General features: G+C 48.1%; 1 non-coding gene across 2 annotated transcripts in view, besides 1 other annotated feature; it reads right to left on the bottom strand.

Moving 5' to 3' along the window:
* Positions 8,517 to 8,746: a silencer, noted in NCBI's record as "silent region_2861". NCBI's record gives its function as "represses an Ori minimal core promoter by ATAC-STARR-seq in GM12878 lymphoblastoid cells {active_cell/tissue: GM12878}" and the evidence as "EXISTENCE:reporter gene assay evidence [ECO:0000049][PMID:35858748]".
* Positions 13,407 to 20,469, bottom strand: part of EMX2OS (EMX2 opposite strand/antisense RNA) — a 60,776-nt gene continuing 53,713 nt past the window's right edge. For both annotated transcript variants that reach the window (NR_002791.2, NR_144378.1), the window contains one exon: positions 13,407 to 20,025. This is a non-coding gene — a non-coding RNA (EMX2 opposite strand/antisense RNA). The remainder of the gene's footprint in view (positions 20,026 to 20,469) is intronic.

The following is a 20,469-nucleotide window of genomic DNA, read 5'->3' on the forward strand; positions in this document are numbered from 1 at the left end:
CATTTTGTCACAAGTGTGCAGTGGAGGTTTTTGTGGCCTATGTGACATGGGATGATGTCATCACTCTGGTGACGGATGGAAGTTACACCTGTGTATTCTTGTTGGTTAAATATTTCTCAGTTTTTATTTAGCATATGGAAAATATCGATAGCTATAAACCACATAAACATGAGCTCTTTGGAGTTCTTAATTATGTTTTAAGAGTATAAAGAGGTATTGAGACCAATAAGTTTGAGAAACTTGTTCCAGATTTTTTCTTTCTTTCTTCAAGATAAAGTGTCATATGCATTGTGATACTTATATACTCTCTCACCACTGAACATGTGCAAAATTGTGCTATGGTTATTATTAGATTCCTATCTTTTCAAAATATGTAAATGACAGTCTTTGAATGTTATGGGTCAACTCTATTATTCCCATGAACCCTGTGATTTTCATTGTGCAATTTAAAAAAATTATTTGTGATTGTGGCAAAATACACCTATTATAAAATTTACTCTCCTAACCATTTTTAAGTGTGGAGGTCAGTGGCATTGTGTATCTTCACACTGTTGTGCAACCATGACCACCACCATCTCCAGAAATTTCTTCTTGCAAAACTGAAACTCTTTACCATTAAATGGTAACTCCTCCTTCTCCTCACCTCCAGCCCCTGGCAACCAGCATTCTATTTTCGGTCTGTGGATTTCGCTTACCTCATGTAAGTAGAAATAGACAGTATTTGTCTTCCTAGATCTTTCTTGACTCCCCCCCACCTGCAAAACTACCTAGCCTCAGGGTCCTGGGGGATGATGCAATACCAGAGCTGAGAGCTCTTGTCTTGTAAAGATGTGTCACCATGCTCTTCCTCCATGTCACTTGTGTTGTGATGGCCAGTCTTGTTGGCATTGGCATGTTGGAAAGATCATAGACCTTGGACAGGGCCAGTTTTAAAACCTGGGTCCTCTGCTTTTGAAGCTATGTGACCTTTGCATAGGACTTAAACGCTTTGAGCCTTAGTTTCTTCATGTCTACAATTAGGATACAGATCCCCTCATTGGGGTGGTTGTGAGGATTAAAAAAAATGTGTGGAGGAGAAGGCAGGGGCCTTCCATGCATGGTCCATGGTTGCCAAAACCCTGCAGTGAGGGAGAGGAGGCCATAGGTGGGTGAGGAGATGGCAGGAGCTCAATTTGCCAAGTGTAAAGTGGAAGGTGAGGAGTCACATCACGGAGGGACTCACGGCTACTTGGAGAGACTGGACTTTTTTCTGAGGGCAATGGGGAGCCACTGAAGGTTTTAGGCAGAAAGAAGACCGCCAGATTTGCATCTCAGGAAGGTCATTCTGTCAGTGTGTGGAGGACGCATTGGTGGGGGACATAGTGGGAGATCAGTGGGGACGCTGCTGCAGTGGCCTCGGTGAAAGATGGCTCAACACAGCAAAACACCAGAGATAGCCCTCGAAATGCCTTTATTCTTTCCTCAATGTTTCTGTTTCCTGCTTCACCTTTCCTCTCTCTTCGAATCTACAGTCTCTAGAAACTTCTTTATTATCCCAAGCAACCCCACTTTTGCTCTCAGCTGTCACCTCTTCTCAATGTCAGAGAAATGGTTGGCTGGATATAAACCATCTCTTGCTCCTCACGGGCGGCTCCCTGAGGGTGTCTCCCCAAGCTCACACCCTCTGCTCCAAGAACTTATCAATTCCCCAAAGCAGTCAGCTATTGTGAGGAGGTCTCTGAGAAGAGACGGGGAGCTGATACATTCATTCCACATTTGCTCCTGGTTTTTCCTGTTATCAGTAATGCTCCCCGCATTTTGGCAGATGGATCATCACCTCGAGAGAGGATCATTAGAGCACAATGAAGAGAACAAGAGCTAAATGTTTGGCTTTGAGTATTGAAAGCCAAGATCCAAGTATGGAATAAAAGATCTGGAAAACTCTGATTGCCACAAGCCCGTTCCCCCTGCTCTTGGAGAGGAGATCAAGTATGCCTCAGCAAGGGGTAGGTGGAGGGCAGGGCATGGGAACACAAGGCTGTAGCTATCTGAGGGCTCCTCCTCTGTGGGCTGAGCCCCTGTGTATTTTTTTTTTTTTTTTTTGAGCAGGGAGAGGTGATGCAGGGGGATTCAATGGGGCCTTGAGATAGGTTTGGGGAGCTGAGGGGCAGAACCACAGAATGAGCCTCTGTTCAGCGTGATGTGAAGTGGAAGAAATATTTGCATAGTTAATGATAACAGGACCAGATGCCGCTCATTCTGACCCCCTTGAAGACGAATGGAACAGAGAACAATTTCATGTACTATTTGGGATGTTTCTCTTGCAAGTAACAGAAAATACCCCTCCTGTTGACTTAAATGAGAGAGTTTATTGGCTCATGTAAATGAAAAATGCAGGGATAGGGCGGTCTTCAGGTGCAGTTTGATTGAGATGTTTCACAACAGCATCAGTGCGTGGCTCCATTTCTCTCCCATTCTCCTGGTTTTGCACTTTTCCCCATGTAGGCTTTGTCTTCAGCTCATGGTAGCCAGATGCCACACGTTTCCTTGCTTGTATCTTGGGGGAAACAGAAGAGAAAAAGATTGCATTTCTCTCCGTCTAATTATTGGACAAAAGTCCTGAATTTTGCTCTAATTGGACTAACCTGGGTCATAGGACTTGAGCCAATGTATGGCCTACCATGAATGAAGGGGAGAGGTTGAGGGGGGTGAGTTCCTGGAGGTGGGCAGGGGCCACATCTGGGGCGGGGACTGGATAGCCAAAGTAGGGTCTGGACTCTATTCTAATGGCTTGGAGGAGCCAGTGGGGATGGAGCAGGGGTGTGATATAATCTAATTTACATTTTTAAAAGAACACTGTGCTAAGAGTGGAGAATGGATTAAATGAATGAAGCTTTTTGGTGTGGAAAGAAGTGAAAACTTTTTGCTACTTACAACCCCTGCTTCTTTTTAAGGAGAGTAGAGTCCATTGTATGAAAGACCCTTTTGTCTTGCTCTTACAAAATCTGAGAGTAAGGGCTGGGCAGAACTGAATTTCACTGTGCAAGAAAAGGGAATAATTTTTTTTTTTTTTGAGATGGAGTTTCATTCTGTTGCCCGGGCTGGAGTGCAGTGGTGTGATCTTGGTTCACTGCAACCTCCTCCTCTCAGGTTCTAGAGATTCTCCTGCCTCAGCGGGCTGAGTAGCTGGGACTACAGTTGCTTGCCACCACACCTGGCTAATTATTATTATTATTTTTGTATTTTTGGTAGAGTCAGAGTTTCACCATGTTGACCAGGCTGGTCTTGAACTCCTGACCTCATGTGATCTGCCCACCTTGGCCTCCCAAAGTGCTGGGATTACAAGCATGAACCACCATGCCTGATGGGAAATAATTATTATTGTTGGAAGTTGTTCTTCTGAGAAAGAGGACAGAGTTGCGGGGAGAGAAACAGATGAGGCCAGGCATGGTGGCTCACACCTGTAATCCCAGCACTTTGGGAGGCCAAGGTGGGTGGGTCACCTGAGGTCAGGAGTTCAAGACCAGCCTGGCCAACATGGTGAAACCCTGTCTCTACTAAAAGTACAAAAAAGTTAGCTGGGCATGGGGGTGGGCATCTTAATCCCAGCTACTGAGGAGGCTGAGGCAGAATAATTGCTTGAACCTGGGAGGTGGAGATTGCAGTGAGCCGATATTGCATCACTGCACTCCAGCCTGGGCAACAGAGTGAGATTCTGTCTAAGAAAAAAAAAAAAATGGATCTAGTTAAGATCAGAAGTCTAGGGCTTCCATTTCAGAAATGTTTGGGGAGGGGCCATAGGAGATGGAGGATGGGGATGGATCCCTAATGAACAGACTAATGCCATCCTGAGGGAGTGAGTGCGTTCTCAATCTTCCAGGAATGGATTAGTTCCTGCAAGAGCAAGTAGTTAAAGAATCTGGCTTCCCCAGTTTCATTCTTTTTCTTGTCTTGTGATCTCTTTGCACTTTTCCTTCCCTTCTTTCCACCATGAGTGGAAGCTACCTAAGGCCCTCACCAGATGCAGCAGCCCAATCTTGGACTTTCCAGCCATCAGAATTGTGAGCCAAATAAACCTCTTTTCTTAATAAATTACCCATCTTCAGCTATTCTGTGATAGCAACACTAAAAGGACTAAGACGGGGCATTTTTAGAAACTGGTTTATTGAACTTTGAATTTTAAGTTGTATGTGTCCTAAGATGTGAGTCCTTCCAGGTACACTAAAGTTTCAGTAGTCTGTACACTATGAATAACTGTATGTGAGGAGGGTGTGTACATGTATGTATTATAGAAAAGGGCACAGTCCCAAGTCTAGGTTAGTGTGGCACAGGCCACAACAGCATGTGTGGGATTACGAAATGAACCCAAATGGAATGATTTCAGGCCCCTGCCCACCTCCAGGAACTCATGCCCCTCAACCTCTCCCCTTTATTCATGGTAGGCCATACTCACATTGGCTCAAATCCTGCGACCTAGGTTGGTCCAATTAGAGCAAAATTTAGGACTTTTTTCCAATAATTAGAGGGAGAGAAATACAATCTCTTTCTCTTCTGTTTGGAGCTACAGTAAGGAGCTTGAAGTGACTTTAAAACTATCAACTCCCCCACTTCTCACCCTGCATCAGGAGCTTCCAAAACCCTGGGTGAGGCAATGGCTTAGGGAAATTCTGTAGAATGGAGATTGGAAGTGCTATTACTTAGAATTTAGGAGTAAATCATCACCGGCTGACATCTCAGTTGTAAATGCTTTAGAGTTTATAAACTAATTTTGTATGTTTTATCTAAATATAAAGTGAAATCCAAAAAAAGGCCTTCCCTGAGAAATTACCACCCTCTGGTTTTGGAGTTGAAGACTTATTCTGAAGGGGTGTGAATTGCAAGATCTTTCTGAGATGCTATCTGGCAGTGTCTACTGCAATTTGAACATAGGTTTCCTCTGTCGCGTAAATCTTTTAGACCACTTTTAGAACTTTGTCCTACAAAATAAAACTGCCAGTACAGCAGGAGAGATGCACAGTAATTATTACAGGGTCATTTATAATAGTAGGAAACACACCAACAAACCAACAAAAATCCCTAAACCTGAAACAATTTGAATGTCCATCAACAGAAGACTGGTTAATAAAATCATGGCACCTCCACACAATAGGATGCTATGCAGCTGTTAAAAAAGAGTCAGAGCCATATCTCCTGAGCTGGAACAATGGCCAGGATATATTGTTAAATTTTTCAAAAGCTAATTGCTTGTCCCAGTTTTGTCTGGGGGAGAAAAGCCAATAGGGGAATGTGTATTCATAAGCATTACATTAAAAAAGCATGAATAAAAAAATCAATGATACACATCAAAATAGTAATCCTGAGAGTGGTGGGATTAGAAGGAAAGAGGAGAAGACCGTGAACTTTAAAATCTATATATTCCTATATAAAACTTTATATAGTGTGTGATTTGGTTCTATATTTATGCAATAAAGTAGAAAAATTTCCAACTTACTCTGAGGAGGAGCTGCCATTCCAAGCAGTGGGAAGTATGTTTCAGAGCTCTGTGGATGGCTGCTATTTTTCTCAGGGTCAAATCAGGACATCCAAATACCTGATTCTTTGCTCAGCCACCCAAGAAACATCTTCTGCACAACAGCGTGTGCGTGTGTATGTGTGTGTGGGTGTGTGGGTGGAAGGGGGGGCATACCTCCAGCCAGTCCCTATAAACCCCTCATCTCACACATCTTAATCCACAAAACCTCCAGGATAACCAAAAACAAACAAACAAACAAACAAACAAAAAAACATGGGTGGGGGTGCAGAACCACTGTTGGGAATGGAGTTCTAAAATGGAGGCTGAGTTTCCACACACAGAGGAAGTAGGTGGAAAATTTGACAAAACTCTGGAGATGGCTGGCAGAGACCCAGGAAAAATTAAATTATCTCCAGATTTGAGTTTTTCTGGTAGAGGCTTAAAATCTCCTCATCCCGTTGCATGGGGAGCACAGCTGGCAAAGGAGTGTTGTCCAACATTGGCCCCTGCTGGATTCTCCACTTCCTGTCCCTCCACTTCCTGTCTCTCTGCTTCCTATCTCTCCATTTCCTGTCTTTCTGCTTCTTGCCTGACTTGCCTCTCCTTAAGTATCCTAACCCGCTGCTCAATGCTCTGGGGCTGGCCTGGGAGTCCAGATGGCTCTGGGTCTCAGCCCCAGTAGAGTTGGCTCCTTTGTGGGAGAATTGTGCCCAGGTGGCCCCACTCTGGCTCCGCAGAACAACATCACTTGGCGTTTTATCAATGGATTACTTTCCTGGTTTTGTTTACTCTTTCCTTCTCTTTTTAGCACCAGAGTGAGGAGAGGCTAGGAGGAAGAGGAGACTTTGAGAAGCTGCTTCTTTGCCAGGTGAACTAGGACTTGGACTGGAAGGGAAAGTGAGTTTTCTCAACCCTGCAGGCTTAATAGGAGGCAACTGGACACTGTCTCTTCTGGTGCCTGCCAGGAAGGTTTCTAAATCACACTCCCTGGGGTCCCTGGACAGAGCCTCAGCAGACTCAGGCTTGGGTCATTCAGCATAAAAAAATATGAAATGAACAATGACTTTCTGCAAATAAATGGCAATGTTCCATTGGGGAAAATTTATTTTCCATTTAAAAGCTAATGAAAACCAGTTATGGTGAAAAACCCAGCCAAAGAAAGGATTGAGGCTTTCTTTTCTTCATGAGGAGAATAATGCCAAATTCTGGCTGGTTCTTTGTGGAATCCAGATCTCAGGGAGAAGAGGGGCTGGGCCATGTGGAGTCCCTCAAACCCTGGTTGGAAAATGTGTCTTGGGGTCAGACAGGAAGCTTGATGGGGTTGGCAAAGGCTGGGGGGAGCCCAGGAAACATGCTCACTCTTCTGAGGGGGTGTGGGACACGCCTGAGCAGAGGAGAATTCTGGAGCATCTAAATATAGCATGAAAGGCAGAGCCCAAGAGCCCGAGACAGGAACTCAGTGGATTTAATACATCTGACACTTTCTCAGCTGTTTCTTTTTTAGTTTGCCCATGCTGAGGTGGAGGCAGGGAAATCCAAGACTGAGTCTGAAATGCTCCAGGTTTCATGTGCCTTGTCTGTGGCTTAATTTGACCATTGCCTTTTCCTATCAACATGCTACCTTCATCTGAGCATTGGGCCTAACTGGAGTGCCCTGCCTCTAGGAACCTTGTTGGCTCACCCTACCCATGTTCTTCTCTCCCATGACTCAGAGCCCTGACAATATGGTTTACTTCTACTGACCTGTGATCTTTCAGATGCTCTCTTCCCTGCTTAACAACCTTCAATGGCTCCCTATTGCCTCCAGAAGTTCTATTTTTTAGGTTTCTGTTCAAAGCTCTTGCTTCTGCCTCCCTTCGCAGCTACGTCTCCCACCATTACCTTGAAAACCTCTTAGATTTTAGAATTGAGCAAATAGCTCATGCCCCCTGTGTTCTTTTATACCCAGGTGTTTTGCATATACTAGTCTTGTTCCAGGAATTCCTTGCCTTGCCTGGCCTGCTGGAGGTTGAGTCATTTAAGAAGCAGCTCAGACACTATTCTTCCCTGACCACAACTTGCTCTGAAAAGTCAGTCTGAAGCTCCCAAGGCAACGTGTGTAGGCTCTAGTTAGAGCACTTTGGACACCTAGTGGTGATTATTCAGACGATGGACACATTCCAGAGTCTAAGGTTCCTCGTCTGCAAAATGGGGATACTAGGACCTCCTGCATGAGAGTGGGTTAGGATTACAAATGAAACAAAGCATGCAAAGCCCCTGGAAGCCCTCAGTTGCTGAGTGGAATTATATTATTAGACGGTAAACATTTTGAGGACAGGGACAGTGTCTCATTCATTTTTGTATCCTCGACTCCTAAGGCAGAAGTTGGTTGGAGAGTTTTGCTGTGCTTGTTTGTTGAAGAGAGGGATGGCTGTCTTGTGGTGTGTTATTTGTCTCTCTCTCTCTGGGTGCGTGTCTCCAACTAGGTCTGAATCCTTCCTGACGATTCTTATCCTCTTCCCCCCACAACGCATGGCTTACTGCAGGGGCTCAATGAACATTAGCCCAGCAAAGAGAGGCAGGGAAGGGGAAAGAGATGAACATCCTAGTGCTCCCTTGGAAGGCTCCTCTTCCCCTCCTCAGACACCTGGGGAGGCACCGTTTCTTCTCTCCAGGGAGCCAAGGCTGGGGACAGTGACCAGCCCTCCTAACCAGGGCTTTGCTTGGTTCTGTGGGGGAATGAGAGGGCCCCTCAGATTTTTTTTTTTTCTGAGATGGAGTCTCACTCTGTAGCCCAGGCTGGAGTGCAGTGGTGTGATCTCAGCTCACTGCAACCTCTGCCTCCTGGGTTCAAGCGATCCTCCTGCCTCAGCCTCCTGAGTAGCTGGGATTACAAGTATGCACCACCATGCCCAGCTAATCTTTGTATTTTTAGCAGAAATGGGGTTTTGCCATGTTGGCCAGGCTGGTCTCGAACTCCTGACCTCAAGTGATCCACCTGCCTCGGCCTCCCAAAGGCTCATGCTGGGATTACAAGCGTGAGCCACCGCAGCCAGCCCCCCTCAGATGTTTTGAGTCTCCAGCAGGATGAGACAGAGGCAGAAATGGCAAGTGGCAAGGAGGCACTTCCTCAAAAGGCAATGGTGCATTTAATCTTTAGCAAGAGAGCAGCCTCCTCTGTGCCCGCAAGCCACCAAGCATTGTGTGTGCATTCTCTTGTTGACTCTCACAAGTCTAGTGGGGCAGGCACTGTTATCCTGCCCATTTTACAGATGAGGAAACAGGCTCAAAGAGTTCAAGAGGCTTCCCGAGGCCAGCTTGTTTATAGAGGGGCTGGGAGTTGAGCACAGGCCAGCCTGAATCTATAAATTGGGCACATAGATGCCAGGTATAGAGCAAAAGGAAGGCATTGTTATACCACGTGTGGATGTACCATGCAGATGGCAAGGGCTTTAACCTGAGCTAGCCAGTTTACCCATCTGGTGGTGAGGGCTTTAACCTGAGCTTGTCCATTCACCAGTCTGGTGGTGAGGGCTTTAACCTGAGCTAGCCCATTCACCCGTCTGGTGGTGAAGGCTTTAACCTGAGCTAGCCCATTCGCCAGTCTGGTGGTGAGGGTTTTAACCTGAGCTAGCCCGTTTGCCCATCTAGTGGTGAGGGTTTTAACCTGAGCTAGCCTCTTTGCCTGTCTGGTGGTGAGGGTTTTAACCTGAGCTAACCCGTTTGCCTGTCTGGTGGTGAGGGTTTTAACCTGAGCTAGCCCGTTTGCCCATCTGGTGGTGAGGGTTTTAACCTGAGCTAGCCCATTTGCCCATCTGGTGGTGATGGCTTTAACCTGAGCTAGCCTGTTTGCCATCTAGTGGCTCCAGGGAGGTTCTTTCCAGCTCACAGAAGAAGAAAAGGGGATTTGCATCAGGTGGACCTGTTGCAGTCCAGCCAGCTGCATCCAACCACAGTGTCTTCCTTGCAGACCAGGCATGACCTCCCAGGTCCTGGTAAGCTTGTCTTTAGGAATCTGACTCCCACCACCATCCCAATCACCTCTGAGAGTGCTCACCTGCTTCCACCTCTCCAGGCTGAACCCAAAGATACAAGCCTCACCTGCAGCCAGAAGGGACTTAGGAACCCTGAGTTTCTCTGGCTGAGCTGCAGGCCAGCAGCCTTCTGGGCTGGGGCCCCTCCTTGAGGTGGGTCTCGGCCACATGACTCCAGGCATCTCCATCCTCCCTCCTAGGCACAACGACTTAGTTCCATCATGGGGCTTTGATCTCGGGCTGATTCTTCCTCAGGGGTCACAGTGCATGGGCTCCAGAATCTGTCTGGGGGTGTCCTGCCCAGTGCTGGGGACCAAACTGAGCCCTGGATGAGCAGGTGCTTCCACTGGACCCCCAGGTACTGTTTTCAGAGTGGCTGCCCTGCGATGTGTCCTTAACGAGGTGAAACTCTCCCTGTGGTGCTGGTGGCTGGGAGGGAATTTTACCTGTGGCCTCTGTTTGGAGGTTTGAGAATGGGCCATGTTTACTTTCATTAAAATTTTTAAAAAGTATATCTGGGTGTTTGAGACTAGGGGAAGGGGATATTGGGGCAAAAGGAGAAGGACAGATTATCATAGAATGGCAAGGGAAGCCCCTTGAATACCTTTGCAAAGTTTAAAGTGTACAGGAAGAGGCTGGGTGTGGTGGCTCACACCTGTAATCCTAGCACTTTGGGAGGCCGAGGTGGGTGGATCACTTGAGGTCAGGAGTTCAAGACCAGCCTTGCCAACATGATGAAACCCCATCTCTACTAAAAATACAAGAATTAGTCAGGCGTGGTGATGCATGCCTGTAATTCCAGCTACTTGGGAGGCTGAAACACCAGAATCATTTGAACCTGGGAGGCGGAGGCTGTACCCCAGCTTGGGCGACAGAGTGAAACTCTGTCTCAAACAAAGCAAAACAAACAAAAAATAAAGTGTACTAGAGGAACACAGAGCCAGTTAGCTGCTCTGAGCCGCCTGCTCTGAGCCCCACCTGGGACTCAGTGATGGAGGGGTGGCCTGAGGACCGGCTAGGCAAGGAGTCCGGCTTCCACAGCTCCCCTTTGTGTGATAGCTGGGGGTTAGCTGGGAAGTCCCCTATTAGGGCTGGGACCCCAGGGCCCATCCCAAAGCCAACCCCTCCCATTCTAGAGGAGGAATCTGAGGCCCAGAGAAGGGAGAGACATTCTGAGGTCACTCAGGCAGGTGAAGCCAAGGCTGGCTCAGACCTGGGAGTCCTGCCTGTCATCATGATACTCTCTCTAATGCCTTGAACCATGCCTGAAGGTGGTGAGTGAAGATGATAAATGATGAAGATGATTAGTAAAGAAGACTCTTGGCCGGGCACAGTGGCTCACACCTGTAATCCCAGCACTTTGGGAGGCTGAGACAGGGGGATCACCTGAGGTCAGGAGTTTGAGACCAGCCTGGCCAACATGGTGAAACCCTGTCTGTACTAAAAATACAACAATTAGCCAGGAGTGGTGGTGGGCACCTGTAATCCCAGCTACTGGGGAGGCTGAGGCAGGAGAATCTCTTGAAGCTGGGAGGCAGAGGTTGCGGTGAGCTGAGATCATGCCATTGCACTCCAGCAGCCTGGGTGACAAGAGCAAAACTCCGTCTCAAAAAAAAAAAAAAAAAAAAGACTCTTCACCAACAGGTTGGGAGTTAAAGGTCAAAGGTCAAATTATCATCAGGATGCCACTCCCATTCCAAGTCCAGTGACTCAGGTCAGGGGATGACAGATCCACACTGTAGAGAGTCATGGAACATGCCTTCTCCTGGTTTCAACTGCTTGTTGTGAAACACTTTCACAGGGGCATATTTCCCTGGGCATGGGGCTACTTTCCAGAACTTCACAGACACTTGAATCTTCTGGACAAGTGCGTTTCACAGTGAGAGAATTCTGGGACTTTGCCTACTCTCCCAGGTAACAGGATCATGGTCACTCTTGGGCCTCCGTGTGGGTCAATGTTGAAGAGAGATGCTAGACAAAGCATGCAGGCCTAAAGGCAAGGATTTCTAGAATTTCAAGGGCAGAGGGCAGGTAAGAACCTGGGTTCCAGGGAGGGAGGGAGGGAGGGCAGGTGGGCAGTGGTGGCTAGGGAGCAGAGACCAGCCCAAACAGGAATGAAGTAGGGTCAGAAGATTCCATGTGCTGGAGATGGGGACACACGTTCCCCATCACATACATTCTGGATGAGAGGGCCCACTGGCAGAACCTCTTAGGAGGGCACTGTGGCACTATCTAACAGAAGCTAAAGGGCACATACCTGTTGGCCCAGCAACTCCACTTAAAGGTATTTATCTGACACACTCCCACATGTGTGCAAAGAGGTATTCAGAAAGCATTCTTTATTTAGGTGAGAAATGAGATATCTCATTAGACCACCTCACTGGGGGACTGAGGCATCAGTCATACAGTAAAATGCCAACATGTGAGCCAGTCGAAAGAATGAGGTGGCCTCATGTAGGTGGATCTCTAACATATATTAGGTTGAAAAGCAGAGCAAGTGAATGACAAGGTGCAGGATAATACGCATAACATGCTCACATTTGAGTAAGAAAATCCTATTAATGCGTGTGCTTGTGTATGCGTGGAAGCGCTTCTGGAAGGACATCGAAGATGCTGGGGAGAGTGATTGCCTCTGAGAAGATAACTGGGAGGCTGGGGTGCCAGGAGGGAGGAAGATGTGCTTCTCACAGTATGTCCTTGGATTGCTTACATTACCATGTTCAGTGCACAATGTATCAGATCCTTCTTTCATGCCCCCTCCCCTGTCCCCCGACAGCTGCAAGACAGGGAGGGAGTGATGGCCTGAGCTAGTGAGACCTGAAACACAGGGCCTGACTGATGGCCCCAAGGTGAGGGTGTGGGTGAGGACACACCCAGCGTGCCAGTGTCTGTTTTGTGCTGATGAACAGATTTGTCATTGGCACTTTTGCAAAACTGCAATGAAATTCTGGCTCAGGGCACAATCACCCAGCTGGGGCCCCGAGGCTTTTGGAAGTCACCCGTGGACAGCTTGTCAGCAAATCTTTATGGAGCAACAACTCTGTGCTAGGTGCTGAGTACACAGTGATGAGCAAAACATGCAAAGACCGTGCCCTCTTCAACTTGGATGGCCAGTGGGGATTAGGAAAACAAATAAGTCAACAAACCCACAATACCATCAGTGTTGTGTTCAAGTAGGCTATGCAGAGGGACAGGAGGGCCTGAGGGCTGCTTCATACAGGGTGAGGATGGAGGGGTTCTGAGGAGGGATGCCCAGGCTGAGACCCAAAAGGTGAAAATGAGCTGATAGGGAGAGGTGGGTGGCAGCCAGGAGTGAGTAGAATTACAGGTGGAGGGACCATGTTGGGAGGCTCCACGGAGGACAGTCTGGAAGGACTGAAGGACAGCCAATGTGGCCAAAGAGTAGTGAGTGTGAGAGAGGGGGAGCCAGGTGAGGTTGGTGGGGAGGCGGTAGGGACGCCACGCTCCTGCTGCCCTGACTGTGGGGCACAGGGTGGCAGTCAGGCCTGTGGGTCACCCACCTTCTCAGGGGCTGGCATTTGCCTTTTCTTGCCTTGCCCTTTCAGTTGGATGCAACCACTCCATGACTCCAGTGGAGGATGAGACCCTGGGATCAGTTCCTGCCCTGGCCACAGGCTTTGCTCACCCTATGTTCTAATGATCAGTATTTCTGCAGTAACATCTTGCAGAAATAGTTTTAGTTCACCCATGCTGAGGTGGAGGCAGGGAAAACCAGGACTGAGTTGAAAATGCTCCAGGTTTCATGTGCCTTTTCCGTGTTCTAGGTGATCAAGATTTCTGCAATAGTATCCTGCAGAATTAGGTGGTGTGGACAAGGGGGCTTCAGGGTGCATCAGGCAACATTATGTTTGGCTGCATGGGACAGAAAATGCCAGATCATGTAGCTTTAAGAAGATAGAGTTTTATTTTTTGTAGATAAACAAAGTTTGGAGGTAAATCTAGACCCTTGAATTAGTCCTAGATCATCCATAAGAAGCTACCACATGGCCCAAGATGGCTGCTCAAATGCCAGCAGTTGCATCTACATTTCAGACAGGAGGAGGAATGTGTGGGGAAGAGAAGGGCACACTTCTGTTTAAGGTCCCTTCATGGAAATCGTATATGATTTACTTCTGCCTGTATTTCATTGTCCAGAATTTATCCCAGGGCTGCCCCTAGCTGCAGGAAGAGCTGGGAAAGGTAGTTTTTATTCTGGGTGGCGATGTGCCAAGCTAAAGACATCAGGGGTTCCATGTTAAAGGAGGAAGAGGGAAATGAAGAATGCCAGACACAGCATTTTCTGCCACATATGATCAAATAAATTTGAGAAATACTTGGTTAAACAAAATGAAATAGGCTTCTTCACTGCAGAATGTCTCAACCTTTAGTGCGCTCATGGACATTGCTAATCTGTAAAAGAGGCTGTAGTAGTATGTAGCCTTTCCAAAATGTATTAAATGATAGAATTGGTGTGTGTGTGTGAAGCACCTTACGGAATTGGTGTTCTGCAGAGGCTATTCAGGTAAACGTAGTCCTTGATTATAGAGTTCAAAAATAACCAAGCTAGGCAACATGCTTTCATTTTAAAGACTAAATGCCATTCCTTCAATCAGCCTAGACCACCTACCCTGGAAACGACAGGCCCTGGGCCAAGTGCTGGGATATATGGCTGAGTCATGATTCCTGCTCTCAATAAGTTCAAAGTCAAGAGAGACACATTCTCAGCAAAATAATGACAAGAAATGCCAGAATAGAACCTGGACTGGAAGAATGTGACATTGGCCTGCAGAATCAGGTGGCTGGGGTGGAGGCTGTGGACAGCATAGAGTGGGGTGGGCGGAAAAGGGTTGGTGCAAGGCAGTGAGTCTGGAGGGGTGAGTGCAGCCAGTGGTGAAAAGCCTCAAGTGCTGTGCCAAGGATGTGTGCCTTCTCGTTGTGGCACCTGGAAGGAGACTGCGGGGTGCAGAAGGGCCATGTACCAGGGAGTGGATCGTGATCTTTCCTCCTCCCTGGCTCCCAGCCTGCTGCCCGTATGAAGGGCTTCTTCCTGTCCCGACACAAGACAGTGAATTGGTCACCAGAACACATAGCCCTCCTCCCGTTGCAAAGCTCTGTCATCTCCTTTCTCTTACATTGTCACAAGAAGCCTTAGAAGTGGAGCAGGCCGGGCGTGGTGGCTCATGTCTGTAATCGCAGCACTTTGGGAGGCCGAGGCAGGTGGATCACCTGAGGTCAGGAGTTTGAGACTAGCCTGGCCGACATGGTGAAACCCTGGCTCTACTAACAATACAAAATTAGCTGGGCGTGGTGGCAGGCACCTGTAATTCCAGCTACTCAGGAGGTTGAGGCAGGAGAATCGCTTGAACCTGGGAGGCGGAGGTTGCAGTGAGCCGAGATCGTGCTATTGCACTCCAGCCTGGGAGACAGAGTGAGACTCTGTCTCAAAAAAAAAAAAAAAAAGAGCAGAGAGGGCTGCCCTTCCCTCACTTTACAAAGAGGCAGGGACAGCTCCAGCATCCTGCCACCTGCAAGTGGCAGAGGTAAAGGGGAGGGATTTCACACCTTGGTCGGGTGTGCGGAGAGAGGAGGCTGAGAGAAGTTCCTCTGAGGCGGGTCTGAGCTCCATGCGATGCCTCTTCCTGCTAGCAAAGGCTCCCCTTGGAGGCTGCTCCACCAGGCAGGCAGGGAAGGGCCTGTATCCATTCCTGAGGGCTGCCATGATGAAGGACCACAGACTGGGTGCCTTCAAACAAGGGAAATCTGTTCTCCCATGCTTCTGGAGGTCAGAAATCTGGAATCAAGGAATCAGCAGTGCATGTTCCCTCCGAAGGCTCCTTCTCACCTCTTGCAGCCCCAGGGGGTTGCTGGCAATCTTGGCGCTCCTTGGCTTGCAGCCGCGTCACTCCGATCTGTGCCTGCGTTGTCCCATGGAGTTCTCCCTGTGTACATGTGTCTCTGTGTCTTTGGCTTTTTCCTCTTTGTGTGTCTGTGTCCAGATTTCCTTGTCTTATGAAGACACCAGTCACTGGATTAAGGCCTGACTAAATCAGCGTTGCCTCATCTTTCCTTGATTACATCTGCAAAGAGCCTGTTTGCAAATAGCACAAACAGAGGTACCCGAGGTTAGGACTTCAACAGATCTTTCAGGGGAACCCAATGCAACCTAAACAGACAGTTTTGCCTCTTCAGCTCACACCTGAGCCAGCCTGGGGCCATGGAAAAGACCCAGAGCTGATGCCAGACCCTGCAGCTCTAACCTCCAGCAAATCTACAAATCCCACTTATCTCTAATTTATTAGCCTTTGCATGGATCTAATGCCCTTCAGTGCAGAGCCCTACAAACACACACTGTTTTCCTACTGACTCCTAGCCAGGTATGTGGTGGGGGAGCTGGGCCAGCTGGCAGAGAGCATCACCCATTGCCAGGGAGGCAGGCAGGGATGTGGCCAAATTTTCTTCCTGGGCATCTCCTCCTAGCCACAGGTGCTCCTTGGCAACCAGGCAGTGAGGCAAGCTGGTTCTGCAGGCAGCCTGGGCCCACCTGGAGCCCATCTCCCGCCCTGGCCTTCCGGCCTTCTCACGCGGCTGCATCATTTTGAACAGCTTTGAAAGTGATGGCCTGGGGTGGTAGTGATAGGGGCGCTTCGATTCTATTATTTTCAACAACTGTGGCCAGTTGGCTTTCTCTGTGCATTACAAATTCCTACCTGTCCTACAAGGCTGTATTAGCTCACTAGAGCTGTTGCAACAAAGTACTACAAACTGGGTGTTTAAATGACAGAAATGTAACATCTCACAGTTCTGGAGGCTGGAAGTCTGAAATCCAGGTGTCAGTAGGGTTCTTTTTTGTTTTTCTGAGATGGAGTCTCGCTCTGTCACCCAGGCTGGAGTGCAATGGCACGATCTTGGCTCACTGCAACCTCCACCTCCCAGGTTCAAGCGATTCTCTTGCCTCAGCCTCCCGAGTAACTGGGACTACAGGTGCACGCCACTACACCTGACTAATTTTTGTATTTTTCTGTAGAGATGAGGTTTCACCATGTTGGCCAGGCTGGTCTTGAACTCTTGATCTCAGGTGATCCGCCTGCCTTAACCTCCCAAAGTACTGGGATTACAGGCGTGAGCCACTGTGCCTGGCCTGCTTCTTTTGGAGGTTCCTTCCTTCCTCCTTTTTGCTGGGAGGGAGAATTTGTTCGAGGCCTCTCCCTGGCTGCTGGTGCTTTGCTGGCAATCTTTGGCGTTCCTTGGCTTATAGCCGCATCAGCCAGGTCTCTGCCTTCATCTTCTTGTGTGTCTGTCTTCAAATTTCTGCTTTTTATAAGGACACGAGTTGTATCAGATTGGGGTCCACCCTCTTCCACTGTGACCTCATCTTAACGAATTACCTCTGTTATGCTTCTGCTTCCAAATAAGGCCACATGCTTAGGTACTACAGGTTAGGATTTGAACATCTGAATTTTGGGGTGGACTCAATTTAGCTCATAACAGAGGCCCATCAGAAATCTCGCCTCCTCCAGGAAGCCTTCTGCACTCAAAACCAGGCAATCCCCCTTTCTGGAACTCCCATAGCACATAATGTCTGAGGAACTCAGTGGCCCAGGGCCACTTGGGTATTTATATTCTGTCTCTCTGAGGCTGGACTTAACTCTGGGTCGATGGCATTTATAGTTTTTGAAAACAAGTGCAGCACAGCGGAAGCCCTTTTATCTGATGTTATTAGGACTGGTAGTTGGGTAGTAAACTGAAAATCCAAAAGGAATGCCAGAAAGCAGCATGGCTCAACATGCGGTAGGCGGAAGATTGATGCAGGAGTAGAGAGCAAAGGTTAACCACTGTGTTAGTGAAATCGACGTTGGCTGGGAGAGATTCTCCTGCACAAAAACAAACAGCAGCCACCAAAGCCCAAGATGGATGAAATCTGGATGCGAAGTTATCCAGCTTCCCATTGAGAGTGGATTTCCTTTTAAAGAAACCATCAATACTCTGTGTCATTTAAGACTCCTATCTGGTTTGGGTGTCAAGGGAAGTGGCCATACAAGCTGTTTGGGACTTTAAAAGTGGAATGGAATCCAGGACACAGTGAGGGTCCCCTACAGAACCTGAATGATTTTGTTTTTGTTTTTTGAGATGGAGTCTTGCTCTGTTGCCCAGGCTGGAGTGCAGTGGCACGATCTTGGCCCACTGCAACCTCCGCCTCCCGGGTTCAAGCGATTCTCCTGCCTCAGCCTCCCGAATAGCTGGGATTACATGTGTGTGCCACCATGTCTGGCTAATTTTTGTATTTTTAGTAGAGACTGGGTTTCACCATGTTGGCCAAGCTGGTCTCAAACTCCTGACCTCAGGTGATCTGCCCGCCTTGGCCTCCCAAAGTACTGGGATTACAGGTGTGAGCCACTGCACCTGGCTGGGAACCTGAATAATTTTGGAAAATAAAGTTGTCTTTTGAGAGTTAAACTATAAAACAAACATAATAGGCCCAAAGCAGGGAGTGGCAAAGACTTTGTTTCACCTGCTTCACAGTGTCAACATAGCCCCAAAAGATTGGCCATCAGAACTGTGTGTGTGTGTGTGTGTGCAAGTGTGTGTGAATGTATGTATGTGTGTTGTGTATGGCAGTGTATGCATGTGAGTGTGAGTGTGAGCATGTCTGTGGGCATGTGGGCTTGTGTAATGTGTATGATCATGTGCATGTGTGTGTGAGTGGGTGTGGATGTGTGGACAGCCAGGGAGGCCAAGGAGAGGGAGAGCATACTGCCTTTGCCTAGAAAGGTGTAGCAAAGCCAGGCAGTGTGTCCCTGGCTTTCCCCAGGGGAAGAGGGGGACACTGGGCCAGAAACTTGAGCTCCTGGCCTCTGCTGAATCTCTGTGCATTCAAGGGGAGATATGTGCATGAAGTCATTGCAGTGTGACGCCTCTGTACTCATCAGATCACCCACGTCATCTAATGCACTCCCATCACATTCCAGACTCAGTGCTGCCATCAGCTCCCTAGGAGCTCTCCCTCCAGGAAGGGAATGTGTCCACCGTCAGACACTCAGACCCAGCATGTGGGGACAGAGGCTGATGGCCTGTCTGGCCATTCCTCTCAGTTCCTCTCCTCACTAGCTTGTGTCCTTGTGCAAGTCACTTACCCTCTCTGAGGTTCAGTTCCCTCCTCTTTGAAGTGGGTTTAATAATAGTACCTGCCACATAGGTTGTGAAGATTGATGAGATTAACCATATAATGTGCTTAGCACAATGCCTAATGTATGGCAAGCCTTCCAAAAGTATACGCTACCATCATAATGATCAATATGATAATAAATCAAAACATCCGTATTGTTTTTCATATGTGCTCCAGCGGGCTGACTGTGCAGTCGGCTTCCTGATGGCACAATCTGCCATTCATCCTGTATCCCCAGAGCTGAGCTCAGGGCCTGGTGTATAGCATATGCTCAGGAAGTGTTTGTTGCAGAAATGAATGAATGATAGTGAGTGAGTGAGTGGCAAGTAATGTTTCTAGGCCCATAGGTCCAGGGCTGATAGCTTTGCACAGGTAAGCCGTTCTATACACTTGCACTTGGCAACTGGGCCACCTTTCCCTGGGGACAGCAGACCCCAATGAACTCTGGCACATTACTCACTCTTGGAGGGGAGGCAGGAAGGGAAGGAGTTTGGAGATAGAGCTCTCTGAGCAGCCACTTGGTCACCAGGCCAGGGCTTGGGTCATTATCACCAAACTTCTCAGGCTGTTGAATTGGGCCATTTATGTCTGCTTTTGTTTTATTTTAGTTTGGACGGAAGCCCAAGCATCACTGAGCAAAGTCAGTATCCTCCTATACCTTGCTACTTATTCTAAGTGTGTTTCATGGACCAGCAAAATGGACCTCATCTAGGAGCTTGTTGGAAATGCAGAATCTCAGCCCGACTTACGGAATCAGAATCTACATGTCAACAAGATCCCCAGGGGCTGTGTGTGCACATCAAAGTGTGAGAGTTTTCTGCCCTAGTGCCACTGCTTTAAGAACTACAGCTTGGTCATCTCTAGAAGAAAATCTAGCATTTGTGAGTTGCCACTTCTCCTGCACTCCAAAATGCACGTCCCAGCCCCTGACCCATTAGAATGAGGTTGTCCAGGGATGTACGGTGCTCTTGCTCCTTCTGGCCATCTCATCTCCCCTCTCCTTTTCTGAAGCTCTTTCACTGGTCAGCAACCCGGCCCTTCTTTGCCATTATGAGAGAAACTTCTCTGCTGTTTGCTGATCGAACTGATAATTTGTTTTCTTGAAAAGCGTGTTTTAATTCAAGGGAGTTGTTGTTAAGGCAAGTCTGTCTGCTGTGAGTTTTATCTCCTCTCTGTTGCTTCCTGGCAGTGCCACCCAGGGTCCTGGCATGCATCTTCTGGAACCCAAAGGGCAAACAACACCCTTAGACTTCCACACAATCCCCGGCTTCTCCTCCACATCTTTCCTCAGCTATCCAGCTGTGCAGAGCTGGCACACGGGCATGCCCTGCCTTCATTCTTCCCAGCTCATACCTGCTCTGGAGAGAATACACACATACGTCAATGACAACACATAAAATCCAATGACAGCCCAAGAACTCCTAAATCTTCCAAATTGCCATCTGCACTTCCTCTCTCTTTATATCCTGGCATGCCTGAGCTGACCTGCCCCCCAGATCCAGTCCCAGCAGCTGTAATCATGTGTCTGCGTCTTCCAGCTGCTTTGGGAAATGCTGGGGCTCCAGGTACCAGCGTCTTCCTGGCTGCACCTCTCCAGAGTTGGATACAGCTAAGGAGTTAGGGTCCCTGGGGATTGGGAACAGAGGACAGGGCCTAGAGCACTCCCAGACTCAAGTGTCCCTTGGCTTTCCACGTGGAAAACCAAGAAATGACTAAATCCAGTGAATTAGCCACAGGAATCCCACTGCAGGAAAAAAGAGAATTCCCAGTTAGAAGAGTTGTGGCAATGGGACAGTGCCTCC

Source organism: Homo sapiens, chromosome 10 (genome assembly GCF_000001405.40).
Source record: "Homo sapiens chromosome 10, GRCh38.p14 Primary Assembly".
NCBI classification, from domain to species: domain Eukaryota; kingdom Metazoa; phylum Chordata; class Mammalia; order Primates; family Hominidae; genus Homo; species Homo sapiens.